The sequence below is a fragment of the Homo sapiens genome, chromosome 4 (genome assembly GCF_000001405.40).
Source record: "Homo sapiens chromosome 4, GRCh38.p14 Primary Assembly".
Classification (NCBI taxonomy): domain Eukaryota; kingdom Metazoa; phylum Chordata; class Mammalia; order Primates; family Hominidae; genus Homo; species Homo sapiens.
Genome location: NC_000004.12, coordinates 37,637,758 through 37,650,846, shown reverse-complemented (window position 1 = coordinate 37,650,846; position 13,089 = coordinate 37,637,758). Strand labels below are relative to the sequence as shown.

Sequence of the window (13,089 nt, the reverse complement as noted above, 5' to 3'; positions counted from 1 at the left end):
CCTCAAGTGATTCGCCCCCTCCCCCCACCCCCTTCAGCCTCCCAAAGTATGTTCTTCCTGCGATCTCAGTTGGCCACATTGTATAATTGTGTGCTCCAGGCTCACTGCTTTCTGGAGTCCCTGTGGCACCCCTGCAGGCTAAGATATCAAACTGTCTCTCATATATATATTCATGTGATACTTTGACATGTCTAAAGGCAAAAACTTCCCTTTTCTCCAAAAGATGCCCACTTCAAAGCTTCCCTATTCTTGAAGTCATAAAGTAGATCCCCACTGTTCTTTTCTCTTCTAGTGCCCCGTGTTTTCCTTCCACAGCATTTCTCACAATCTGTCACGATCTGCCCGTGTATACTTGTTTAATGGCTGTTTCTGATGCCATCATATACGAGCCTCAAGATGGCAGGGGCTACGTTACGTTGTTCATCACTCTATCCAGTTCCCACCCAGTGTGGTGCTTGTCACATAACTGGCATGCATTCAATGTTTATTGGGATTAGTGAACAAATAAACAAGTGCACTCACTTCCATTTTTATGTTTGCACCCCAGGCCAAGATCTTGATGCTATCCCTGACTTTTCCCTCTTCTTCATACTCTAGATCTGCTAGTTTACTAAATCCTCCTAGAATGTAAGCTGCATGAGGACAACAAATCTCCGCCTGTTTTGCTCAGTGTGATGAACCTGCATCACAAGTGCCTAGAATGGTGCCTGGCATGTGGGTGAATATTTGCTATGTTGCTTGCTAGTTTACACGTAATAATTTATTTCATCTTTATAACAATCCTAGAAGGGTGAGTAGGTAGTATTTGTATGCCCATTTCATAAGAAACCAAGGCATCAAGATGTTAAGTTCTTGTCCATTGTCACACAGCTGCTAAATGGTGGAGCTGGGAATTGAACTTGAGTGTTCTGAGGCCATGCTCTTAATCACTAAGAACTGTGCTATAATGTAATGTAGTGTTTATGTAATATTTGTAATGTTACATGTAGTGTTTATGTGTTCATTCTGTGTTTGTAATGTTACATGTAATGTTTATGTGTTTACTCTGTGCTGGACACTTCACGACAACCCTGTATACTCATTCCACAATGAAGAAGAAGCTGTCTTCAAAGGATGTTTTAAAAAATGACCCAGCATGGGACCTGGTTCATGAGTAGCAGAGTTAAACTCAGACTGTTTGAGCTCAAACCTGGGCTATCTTTTGCCTGTGCAGCTGGACCCACCAGTCTGCATGGCCTGTGGTTTCGGGAGCAGACCCTGACTTACTGTGAACATTACCTGAGAGTCATTAGGTTTTTCTTGCCCTGGACAGATATCTAATGCAGCATGCATGTTTCTTTCTGTAGACAATGGGAGCAGCCGCACATTGCACTCCAGAACAGAGACGACCCCGTCGCCCAGCAACGATACTGGGAATGGACACCCAGAATATATTGCATACGCGCTTGTCCCTGTGTTCTTTATCATGGGTCTCTTTGGCGTCCTCATTTGCCACCTGCTTAAGAAGAAAGGCTATCGTTGTACAACAGAAGCAGAGCAAGATATCGAAGAGGAAAAGGTTGAAAAGATAGGTAAATAACCAGGGCTCTTTTTATTGGGGGTGAGGAGACAGTTTTTAAATATGAAACCAGTGATATATGCTTTCCATCTCTCTGAGGCAGAATGATCCATTTTAGTGGCAGGTGGTGCAGTGTAGTGTAAGTGCAGATTGTGCAGTAATCACACCTAGTTTGAAAACTTGCTTTCATTACTGAATACCTGCCAGATAGGGCACCCTTTCTTGCCCTGTGGCCTTAGACAAGTTATTGTGTGCTCTGAATCTCTGCCATGTATAATTTCACTTAAATGTATTTTTAATTAATTTAATCTTATTCATTTGACATTTTAATTTAATTTCAATGAGGAAAATAATCCTTACCTTTTGGGGTTTCTGTGAAATTTAGAGGAAAGATGCATTTGGTATTTGGAATATATGACTACTCATTAAATATTAATCCTTACTATTATTATGGAATCAGATTCGAATAAGAGTGAAGGAAAAATTAAAATAGGTCTCCCCATGTTTGTGGTGTTACTTTTGCTGGGGGAGTTCTATCTTAAATATTTGTGATTGGAATTTATGTTTATTAAGTAAACGATCGTGTGCACAGTGCAGAAAAAAGTATGACAAGAGCTGGTGCCTTAGTACTAACTTCAGGCTGTCTCATCTGTTTCTCCTAATGTGGAGTCATAAGGTAGTGTTTAGAAAAACCGGGGAGACGAAATCCTGTTTTCGCCACTGATGTTTCTTTCCCATCATCTTTAGGGATGTTTCCTGACTTGGGCCTTGAGAGGTAGTAGGTGACTCCCCCTATTCCTTTCAGCCCTGCTAAGGGCAGTTTCTGCAGAAAGGTGACATTGGAGTAGGTCGCCCTTCAGGCAAAGCAGGGCTGGCTGAGGGGAGGTTCCTCGTTCCTTGCCAGCTTGCTGGACTGTTGGTTTTTCCCACCCCCACTGACCTTTGAGGCTGAGAAGGAACAGGATTGCATGATGAGTCATGTATGAGCCTGTGAGCAAACCAAAGCCAAGTGTTTGTCAACAGAAAGTGGAGCCTCCCCCTCTCCTCCTTCCCAGATGCTCTGTAGGTTGGCTTAGCAGCCAGCTTCTGAGCTGTCTAACCAAACATGCATGTTCACGTGGAGGAAAGCTGACCTTTGGATGGAGAAGGCATTGTCCAGGTAAATGAGTAGGACACTGCACACCTTGATGCATTCTCTGTGAACTAGGATGGAGCGTTTCAACCCTTCCTCGTTCTTATTGAAACAAATTTTGCAGATTGGTTTCAGAGTGGTTTGCTTTTTTTCCCAAAGACCGTCATGTATGCTCCTGGTACAGAGTCCCCAAAGTAAACTGAGTTTGTGGACACATAACCAAGCCCTGAATGTAGGTAATTTGAAAGTGTATTTCAGAGGATACAGCAGTCTGATGAACATGGAAGAATTATGATCCAATTTAAAAAGGAAATTAATATTGTAAATTGATATAGTAAGTCTGCAATTAAAATAAAATCCAAGGAGAATCTTTTTCTTTTTTAATGAGCTTTCTTCCCATTTCTCATAAGGCTTTAAGAAAATGATGAGAGAGAAATAATAATGAAGACTGGTACAAATGCATTTTCAAATTATTGTCTTGGAAAGTGAGTATTTGAACTTCAGAAGAGATAGATGGACAGCTTTGATACTTTCTCTTTATGCTTGTTATGCATTAGGAAGTTTGGGGCTGGAGGGAGAAAGCCTAGAATTGTAGCACCATGGGTGATCTCCTGAGGCTTCTGGAAACTGTTCAGTGAGGTCTTGGGTTCTAAGATTGATTGACTTGATGCTGGTGACCAATTGTAACCTGTTCTCCCCTCCTCTTTTCTCTTTCAGAATTGAATGACAGTGTGAATGAAAACAGTGACACTGTTGGGCAAATCGTCCACTACATCATGAAAAATGAAGGTGTGAACATTTTAGTGTTCCAAAACAATTCAGTATTCCTATCCTTTATTAAAAACCTGCTTCGAAGAGTCAAGATTTATATAGACTCTCTTACTGACTTCACCTAAGCTTTCTAACACCTCAGCTTCCAGCATTATTCAGCTACGCAAGTTTCACATGAGTGAGTTTTCTAAGCGTGAGTCGGTCTAAGCGTTGCAGAGACCCAGCCCTGGAGGCGCTGTCAGCTGGTGTTCAAATCCTGGCCTCACTGCTTACTGGTTGTGTGCAATTTGGGGAAACTATATTGCCTTGTTTCATGAGGTAGAGTTTCTTCCTGTAAAATGAGGATAATAATATTTACCTCAGCCTGGCACGGTGGCTCACATCTGTAATCCCAGCACTTTGGAAGGCTGAGGTGGGAGGATTACTTGAGGCCAGGAGTTCAAGACCAGCCTGGGCAAAATAGTGAGACCCCATCTCTTCAAAAAAAGTAAATAGCCAGGCATGGTGGCACATTCCTATGTTCCCAGCTACTTGGGAGGCTGACGTGGGAGGATCACTTGAGCTCAGGATTTCAAAGCTGCAGTGAGCTGTGATCACACCACTGCACTCCAGCATGGGTAACAGAGCGAGACTCTGTCAAAAAAAGAAATAATAAGAAACAATAATAATAATAATATTTACTTCACAGCATTGTTGGGACATAGCACACATAGAGTGCTCAGTATGGTAAGTACTCAAATATTGTCTGTTCCTTTTTCATGCGCTTAAAAAAATTGTGGTAAAATACACATAAAATTTAGTACTGTTACCATTTTAAAGTGCACCCTTCAGTGGGATTAAGCACATTCACAGTGTTGTACATGCATTTCCACTGTCTAGTTCCAGAACTTTACATCTTCCCAAGCTGAAGCTCTGGACACTTTAGGCAGCCACTCCCCATTCCCTCCTCCCCCGTCCACTGGCAGCTGCTGCTGTGCTTCTGTTTGTCTACTCTATGTCATCCTTTCTCCAGTGTTAACACTTTTACAAAGTTGAACTTTTATGAAATTTAGTATTTTTTCACCCTGAAATGTATTCTAAATTATCATCTTAAATGGAAGATTAATTTAATCTTGAGTAAAGAAACTTTACGGTTATTGTTCTGAGCACTGGTTATTCCCTCCATAGCACACCATGCCCTCAGTGATATTTGAGGTGTGTGGGATTCCTTGCCCACTTACTCAATAGCTGTGGATTCTCACACTGTGAATTCTCATTACAATTTAAAAGAAAATGTTTCCCCTGGGCTTTGTCTGTGCTTTAGCCAGCATGGGCTCGTGGACTGATAGAGCTCAGCCTGATAGAGCTGAGCCATTTGTCTAAAGGTTGAAATACACCACACTCATCAGTAAATACCTGCTCCTCTGCCCTCAGGCCCTGCCCTGGGCACCCCACACTCCCAGATCCTCACTACTCCACAAGAGCACCTGCCTGCCCAGCCTGTTTGTCAGTTTGACTCTCTTCAACGGTTTTTGACTTAGAGAAACAGCAGTTTCGTATGGTTGAGCATAATTTTCATTGCTGTTTTTAGAATGTGCTTTATGCTTTTGGCATAGATCTGGGTGCTTTATATACGTAATCTCATTTAATCTTCAAAACATCCCTATAAAGTTAGTTCAGTTACACCCATTTTACAGATAAAGAAAGAAGGTTCCAAGTAATTAAATTCACATGGTTAGTGAGCAGCCCAGCTCTGTCTGTCTGGTTTCAAATTCAGCATCCTTTTCAACCACACGATATTGTCCCTCCTGTCTTCTAATATGCAGTTGTCAATTTCTGCAGTCTATAAAGTCAGACAACCAAACTTACTCGGATGATGTTTAAAATAACAAAAAAGACCAGAATACTTGGATTTTGATCTCTGTCTTCCAGAGACCTTCCTTCAGGGCACAGTAGTTGGTGATACTGTTCTTGAGTACTCAATCATGGATGTTTCTTTTATATGAAAAAAAAGTGCTTTTGAATTTGCCCAAGCAATGCATGACTATGTCCTTGGCCTAGAAGATGTACCCATTCTGGAAGTGTGCAGTGTAAGGCATGGATGACCGCCTCACTGCCTCTGTGCCTTTCACATTCCAGACTGCCTTTCGTGGCTGTGGGGAGCTTGCAGGCCTTTGGGACCCGGGCTTCTAAAAGCTGGAGCAGTTGCCAAATTTGTGATGATGCATGAAATGGGTACTGGCAGTTGAATCAGTCGAAATAAGTAAACTGTGAGAACCTTGCCAGGGGTTAAAGTTCTCACGTATCGACGTCATAGCACTCATGAGGGTTTGCTATGTGCTGGGCCTGTTCTGTGGGCTTTCCAGGGATGCTGTGATCTCGACATTTTCTTCCCATGTTATAAAGTGAAGCCCACCGTACTTAACTAAGTTGCCAGTGTTGCACCGCTGGAAAGTGGCGGAGCTGGGATTGGAGCTCAGGTGTTCTGGTTCCATAGTCTGTTATTTTAACCACTTACTGTAGTACCTCTGTCCAGGTGGCATGAAAGAGGGATGGAAAACTTATTCCTTTCAAAGAGGGACAGTATATAGCTGGGGTAGTTTGTAGAAATCCTTAAGCATTAACTCAATAAATTCTTCAAAGTAGCGGCCGGGCGTGCTGGCTCATGCCTGTAATCCCAGCACTTTGGGAGGCTAAGGTAGGAGGATCACTTGAGGTCAGGAGTTCGAGACCAGCCTGGCCAACGTGGTGAAACCCCGTCTCTACTAAAAATGTAAAAATTAGCTGGGCGTGGTGGTGCATGTCTGTAATCTACTTGGGAGGCTGAGGCAGGAGAATCACTTGAACCCGGGAGGCAGAGGCTGCAGTGAGCCAAGATTGCACTGTCACTGCACTCCAGCCTGGGCGACAGAGTGAGACTCTGTCTCAAAAATAAATAAATAAATAAATAAATAAATAAATAAATAAAAATAAAAATAAAAGTACCAGATGACGTAGGCCCTGTTACCACCCTATTTTGTAGATTAGGAAACAGCGACCCAGAGGATAAGACACTTGTTCAAAGTCACACAAGCAGGTATGGCAGGACGGTGCTGGCAGTAAGCACTTCTCTTAATTACAGCAGAGAGGGTGTTTGGGGTCCTTGGAGGAGGCGTATTATATAATTTCCTCACTTCCCACACTCATGGGCGAATAGGGCTGTTTTGGTTTTTTTTTCTTTTTCTTTTTAAATGATGTTGTTTTCCTTTTGGAAAGTAGCCTTTGTGTTTTTACTGTGCTTAGCACCAGTAGGTACCACTGAGCAGTCAATACCGGAGGTGCCATTTTTCTCCTCTCTCCTCTGCTCCCCAGTTCTCTTTGCCTTCTATCTTATTCTCAACCCCGGGTCCCCTCTTCTCCTGTCCATGCCTTCATCTGTGTACCTGCGGTTTCTCCAGGGGCCCGTGAGGACAGCTGGTGACTCCAATCCTTTGCGCAGCCCTTGGTTCCCTTCCTGGGCCCTCAGGTAATACCTGATGTTGCTGCACACCCCTTTCCAGCTGTGGCCTCTTCAGCTTCCAGCCTGCACCAAAACCACAGCCTGGTGATAAGATGCAGCCTTGATCTCTTACCAGTTTATAACCTAGCATGTTTGAGTTCGGCTTTGAGACTGAAATCCTCTATTTTGTGGACTAAATGCATTTTTAAAAATATTTTTGTCTCAATGATTAACATAACTTGAACTTAGTACCAATTTGGACTTCTCTGTTGATATTTTCTGTCTTTGATAAATTGGAATTAATATAAATTTTGCTTTCTAGTTTTAAAAGTGATACGTGTACCATGACTTTTCCTTTACGTTAAAAAAGGAATAAAATTAAGCACAATCTCTCTATTACCCTTTTCCCACGTGTGTTTAGGTTTTCTTTTCCTGGATTCATGCATCCGTAAACATTTGCAATCATGATATATGAATGGTTTCTGCTTCGCATTTTAAGTTTGGCAAATGGGGTGATATTTGAACTGTACTCATGGTAACATTCTTGTTTATGGTTTAAACACATTATGTCTTTAATGTTGGAAGTCAATTTTAATTTAGATAAATATCTCTTGAAGGATGGATTATCAGCTGACCTGCTGGGCAAACACACTTTGTTTGTTTGGTTGTCTCCATCCTCACACAACACTTCTGACAAAGATGTGGGTTTTTTCCATACTTTGCAGTTCTCCAAATCCCCGAACCCTGCAATTTAATACAGTTCTGACTCTGTCTACCTAGAGTTAGCGTCAGATCCCAAAAGACTGCCCCTACTTGGGATGCCAGTTGGAAGCCAGGGCTCTGGTACTTCTGACCTATAATCTTAAATGGCTGGGAGGAGGGATCCACAATCCTAGAATGGGTTACAGGACTCAGGGAAACACTTTATTACATGTACTGGCTTGTTATAGAGGATGCAACTCACGAACAACAAAATAGAAGAGATGCATAGTATTGGGGTGGGGCGCAGAGCTTTCCTGCCCTCTCTGGGTGCGCCACCCTCCCGGCACCTGCACCTGTTCAGCCACCTGGAAGCTATCAAATCTTGTTGTTCAAGAGTTGTTTTGTCCAGTTTAATTTCCAGTCCCAGAACCCTGCCCCGTCCTCCCCTGCTCTGACTTTCCTGAGGTCCCTGGGTAGGGCTGAAAGTTCCAACCCTCTAATCACTTGGTCTTAATGATGACTGGCCCCACCCTGAGACTGTTTAGGGGCTCCACCCCAAGTCACCGCATTAGTGTAAACCCAGGTGTGATCAAAAGGTGCTCATTATGAATAACAAAAGACACTCCTATCAGGAAATTCCAAGGCCTTTAGGAACTCTGTGACAGGAACCCAGGACAATGACCAAATCTGTTGCATATTATGCCACACCTGCACTCTGACTATTTTCCTAATCCAAAGGGTTGGATGTACGGCAGTGCTAGCTTTTAATTCATCTTTCTAAATAGAGCCGAACTGAATCGTGTCTGGGTAGTCGCTGGAGTTTTCTTGCATTGTATGGATGTTTGGAAAGTATCTGGGAGTCTGTAGCTGAGTTCCTCTGCTAGGCCCTTGAACTGGCTGCTTAGTAAAAATTGCAGGGAGTACTACAGATAGTCCTCAAGTGCTTCTGGTTAGTGATTAGTACTTCTGATCCCTAGGCAAGAGATGCCTTTGTGAAGTTTTTGCCTTCAGGCTTCGTTTATATTTTGCCAGAAAAGATTCCTTTATAAATGACTGTGAGTACCGAGTGGGTTCTGAAACTTTCTCTGTTGATTATGCAACATGCCATGAACCATTATTCAACCTCTGTCCCTTTGGGCGGGGACTTGGACATTGAAGGGTAGGAAGGAAGATGTCAGGGTTAAAAGCACCCACCCTGGAGTCAGACAGACCAGGGTTTGTGTCCAAGCCTGTCACTCTCTAGCTGTGTGACTCCGGCCAGTCAGTTACGATCTTTAGGTCTTAGTCTGTATACTTGTAAAATGGGGGTGATAATTCTACCTACTGTTAAGGTCATCAGAAAAGTCCAACACGTAAGATCGGTAAAGCTTTCAGGCAGTGACTGGCACGTGCCGGCGCTTACATTTTGGTGATGGCAATGTTAGTTTTTGCTTGGGAAATTTGCCTTAGGTGTGAGGAAAACTTTGAAGAGAATAGTGATGGGAGAGACAGAAGACATTTTTCTTGCCTGATTTTGGCTGTTTCATGCATATTATCAAGCAGGGATTCAGGGAGAAAAAGAGGTCTTTTCTGGAAAATGTCACCCATTGGAACATATTCCCTTTTCTTGAGGGAGTTTCCTTGCCCTGTGCCTAGCTCCTCCCATTTTGGGGAAGGTGGGGAAAGGAAGTGTAGTTGACAAAATGCCGGCAAGTGTGGAGAAAACCACCTAAGGCTTAGTGTAGCTGTGAGTAATATGCAAGGAGGAGATACACCTTCAACAGAACTCACAGTATTGCTCTTTTATGGTAACTTCACAACCAAATTAAGGCATGTGTTTCAGTCCTAACGGTGGTGTTATATTAGAAAACCTTCTCGTCACTGGAAACCAAAAATGTTCCCAATAGACAGATTACTGAAGTTGACTCCCTGGAGATTAGCTCAGAGACAGGGACGCATGTGTGTACATGTGGGTATGTACCTGTACATGCATGCATGTGGGTGTGTGTGTGTGTGTCCCACATGCCACAGGGTGAGTCCTAGAGACTCACTCAGCAAACCAAGGGGATGTTTACTAATTATTCCTGAGAGATAAAGATGAGTTACAGGAATTCATGAATAACCGAGAAACACACATCTACAAAAAGCAAGCTTTAATAATGATTTTAATATATCTTATCTTCCTGGAATTATTTTGTAATTTGACCTTTCATTTTATAGGTGGTCATCATTTTACAGGTGATTGATTTTTCTCAGGCAGTGATTTAAACGTTTGATTTTAAAAAGCTCACTCCTGTATGTGCTGATAGTGCTGTCCCTGTTTTAATACCTATTGGTGTTGTTTTCCCTCTTTTTTATGTTTATAGTTTTGAAGTATGGTAAATGTTGGCAGAGTAAGTTTGGGTGGCAAATTACTTTATATAATCAGCCATCCATATCCATCAGATCTGCACCTATGGATTTAACCAATCAAGGATAAAATAAAATTAGAAAAAAAAAATGGATGGTTGCATCCTTCTGGACATGTGCAGACTTTTTTCTTGTCATTATTTCCCATATAAAACAGCATAACAACTATTTACATAGGATTTCCATTGTATTAGGTATTATAAGTAACCTAAAGATGACTTAAAGTGTATGGGGGAGGGGGAGATGTGTTTCATATCAGGAACCTGAGCATCTGTGGATTTTGGTGTCTGCACGGATCTGGGGAACATCCCCGCATGGATACTGAGGACTACTGTATTTTGTATACAATAAAATACAAAATTGTATATGGGATTGTATATCCAAACCTAGTATCTGAAACGACATTATTTTTCTGAATCCTCATTTATTAGCCAAAAGGGAAATTAACTGACATTACTGGATTATACTTAAATGTGTTTTACAGAGGGAACTGTCTTCTTTATTGTGCAGGAGAAATTACTATGGATCCGTTTTCATAATGTTTTTGTAATGACAGGAGGTCTTATTTAGATCAAAATTTGTGTTTGAAAATGCATTTGGACATCCACAGATAGTTGTGAAGGGTAAAGTATTTCTTTTGGCAAAAGATTAAGTGTTGTATTAATATTTCTTCAAAGAAAAAAGCAAAAACCCATATGTTCTCAAGGGTTGCAATGGGGCAATGTGTCCCCTAAGAAGATAAAAATTGGATCGGGGCCAAAAAAAAACTCACTCTCTTATATGTAAAGCACAGATATGTGTATAGTACATAACTGAGTATATAATATATCTGCCGTATTGTACATTAATGGGAGAGTCATTAGGGTAAAATAGTTGAACAAGGCTCTTGGGTGGGGCAATAATGAAAGCCAGGTTGAGAAACACCACATTGTAAGCCCTTAACTGTTAAAACTTACAGCAGCAGTTGGAACTAGAATTAATATTCCTTCTCTAGAAAAGTCATTTGAATGTTAAACATTAAATGTTGGTGTTGGCTTACATGGTAAATAGTGATTTTTATTTGTTCTTTCCTCTCTAGAGAATTGTTGTGGTTAGTCATGAGAACAGTGCTTCAGAAATCAATTGAAAAGGTTACAAGCCAGTAATAACATTTGGCCTTGCCAATTAAATAGCCAAGGGAAACTTGAACATTCACTTCAGTCTTTCATCCTGGGGAGCGTGACCACTCTACAAGGAGGCAGAAAACACATGGCGTGTGGATGTGGATGTGGGTGTGGGTTGGGGGACTCAAGAATCTTAGATTAGGTTTTTTTTTTTGCTTTTGTTGACAGCCTAGCTTCCCATCTACAAATTTGGATATTTTTTAGAAGTCTAATTTTTTAAAGTTAGCGTATATTACATAACTTATATGTTGTGATCAATACTTGAAATTTTTTTTTTTTTTTTTTTTTTTTTGAGACAGAGTCTCGCTTCATCGCCCAGGCTGGAGTGCAGTGGCGTGATGTCTGCTCACTGTAAGCTTCGCCTCCTGGGTTCATGCCATTTTTCTGCCTTAGCCTCCCAGGTAGCTGGGACTACAGGTGCCTGCCACCACGCCCAGCTAATTTTTTGTATTTTTAGTACAGATGGGGTTTCACCGTGTTAGCCAGGATGGTCTCGATCTCCTGACCTTGTGATCTGTCCACCTCGGCTTCCCAAAGTGCTGGGATTACAGGCGTGAGCCACAGCGCCTGGCCAATACTTGAAATTTTAAGATATCTGGCCAGTCAAGGGCTTATATGATCCTGAAGCTCATCTGGAAAATTAACCTTCTCTCATCCCTGAATCGATATGGGATAGAATTGATGCTACAGGAGGATTCAGAGTTTAGGGCTAATTATTTTGGCACATACAAGTTATTAGACTATAGGTCACTTATGAAATACATTTCACTATCATATTTTTCAAAGTATATTTATCAAAATTAGTTAACTGCAAGGGAGCAGCGGCATATAAATGGTCCTTTAGTTTGGTGGAGTTGGTGTGGGGTGAGGGGGTGGTTTCTTCTACTTTATATTGCTATTGATGTGTAAGAAGCAATGCCTTATAGTAGATCTGCTCTCCTTGCCATAGATTCTTTGTCATTCTTACTAAGTTCCTGTGGGGTGGAAGTTACTGACAGATGGTGCCATGTTATGCAGTTATGTTGGGGGAGACCCTCCTTTCTCTAGGCCCCCAGGACTTCATCTATGAACTGAAAGAATGGAATTAGATGTGTTTTCAACAGCTTTTCTGATGTGATTACTCATCTTATTCATTCTATTTTAATTCTTTAATTTTATTTTTATTCCTTAGCGAATGCTGATGTCTTAAAGGCGATGGTAGCAGATAACAGCCTGTATGATCCTGAAAGGTGAGTGCTCCTCCCCTCTTTCTTAGTGCGACATCTTTTCAGTTACTTGCTCAGATATGGCGCCATCTGAAATGCTCTTCTGCTAGAGCAGGTTTCCCAGCTTTAACACTATAGTTATTTTGGGACCAGGTAGTTCTTTGCTGTGCGGAACTGTCCTGTGTATTGAGGATGTTTGATAGCATCCCTGGCCTTCACTCACAAGGTGTCAGAGCATCCCCTGCCCCCACCCTCCCAAGGTGTGACAACCCATAATGTCTCCACACATTGTCAATGTCCCGTAGTGGGGACAGTCACTCCTGGTTGAGAACTGCTGTGTTAGAGAATAGTGATGGGAAGAAGGAAGGCATAGAGGTTAAGGGCAAGAACATAGCCTTGGAATTGGGAGATGTGGTTGAGTCCTGCCTGTACCACAATATTAACTGTCTGTTCTTGAGGAAGTTAACTGACCACCCTGAGTTCCATCATCTATAAAATGGAGATCACCACAGTACCAGCTTTATAGGGTTGTTATAAGGAATACAGAGTACCTTAAGCATTGAAAGACCTCCATGAACAATGATGATTAAATGAACAAGCTGGTTTGGAGCTACCTGCTATGTTCTGTTTTTGTATTACTATTTTAGGTTATGGTTGTTGAGCAGCATATTCCTTCATAATTAATTACAGAGAACTGTATTTCCATAAAAGTA

General features: G+C 41.8%; 1 protein-coding gene across 9 annotated transcripts in view, besides 2 other annotated features; it reads left to right on the top strand.

The window, feature by feature from the left end:
- The window catches only part of RELL1 (RELT like 1), a 100,073-nt gene that overhangs the window by 35,530 nt on the left and 51,454 nt on the right, over positions 1-13,089 (top strand). For 8 of the 9 annotated variants that reach the window (XR_007057961.1, XR_007057960.1, XR_007057958.1 and 5 more), the window contains exons 2-4: positions 1,347-1,571; positions 3,408-3,479; positions 12,343-12,400. Coding sequence is in view for 3 of the 9 variants with exons in the window: in NM_001085399.2 (NP_001078868.1) it covers positions 1,347-1,571; positions 3,408-3,479; positions 12,343-12,400 (355 nt within the window). In the remaining 6 variants the exon portion in view is untranslated. The other variant, XM_017008590.3, reaches the window with a different exon arrangement.
- Positions 2,430-2,574: an enhancer, noted in NCBI's record as "145 bp enhancer 255 fragment used in the MPRA reporter construct; PK_construct_1689". NCBI's record gives its function as "activates an SV40 promoter by MPRA in HepG2 cells {active_cell/tissue: HepG2}" and the evidence as "EXISTENCE:reporter gene assay evidence [ECO:0000049][PMID:23512712]".
- Positions 2,495-2,508: a transcriptional cis regulatory region, noted in NCBI's record as "HNF4 motif; enhancer activity is reduced when this motif is scrambled". NCBI's record gives its function as "necessary for full MPRA enhancer 255 activity {active_cell/tissue: HepG2}" and the evidence as "EXISTENCE:site-directed mutagenesis evidence [ECO:0005528][PMID:23512712]".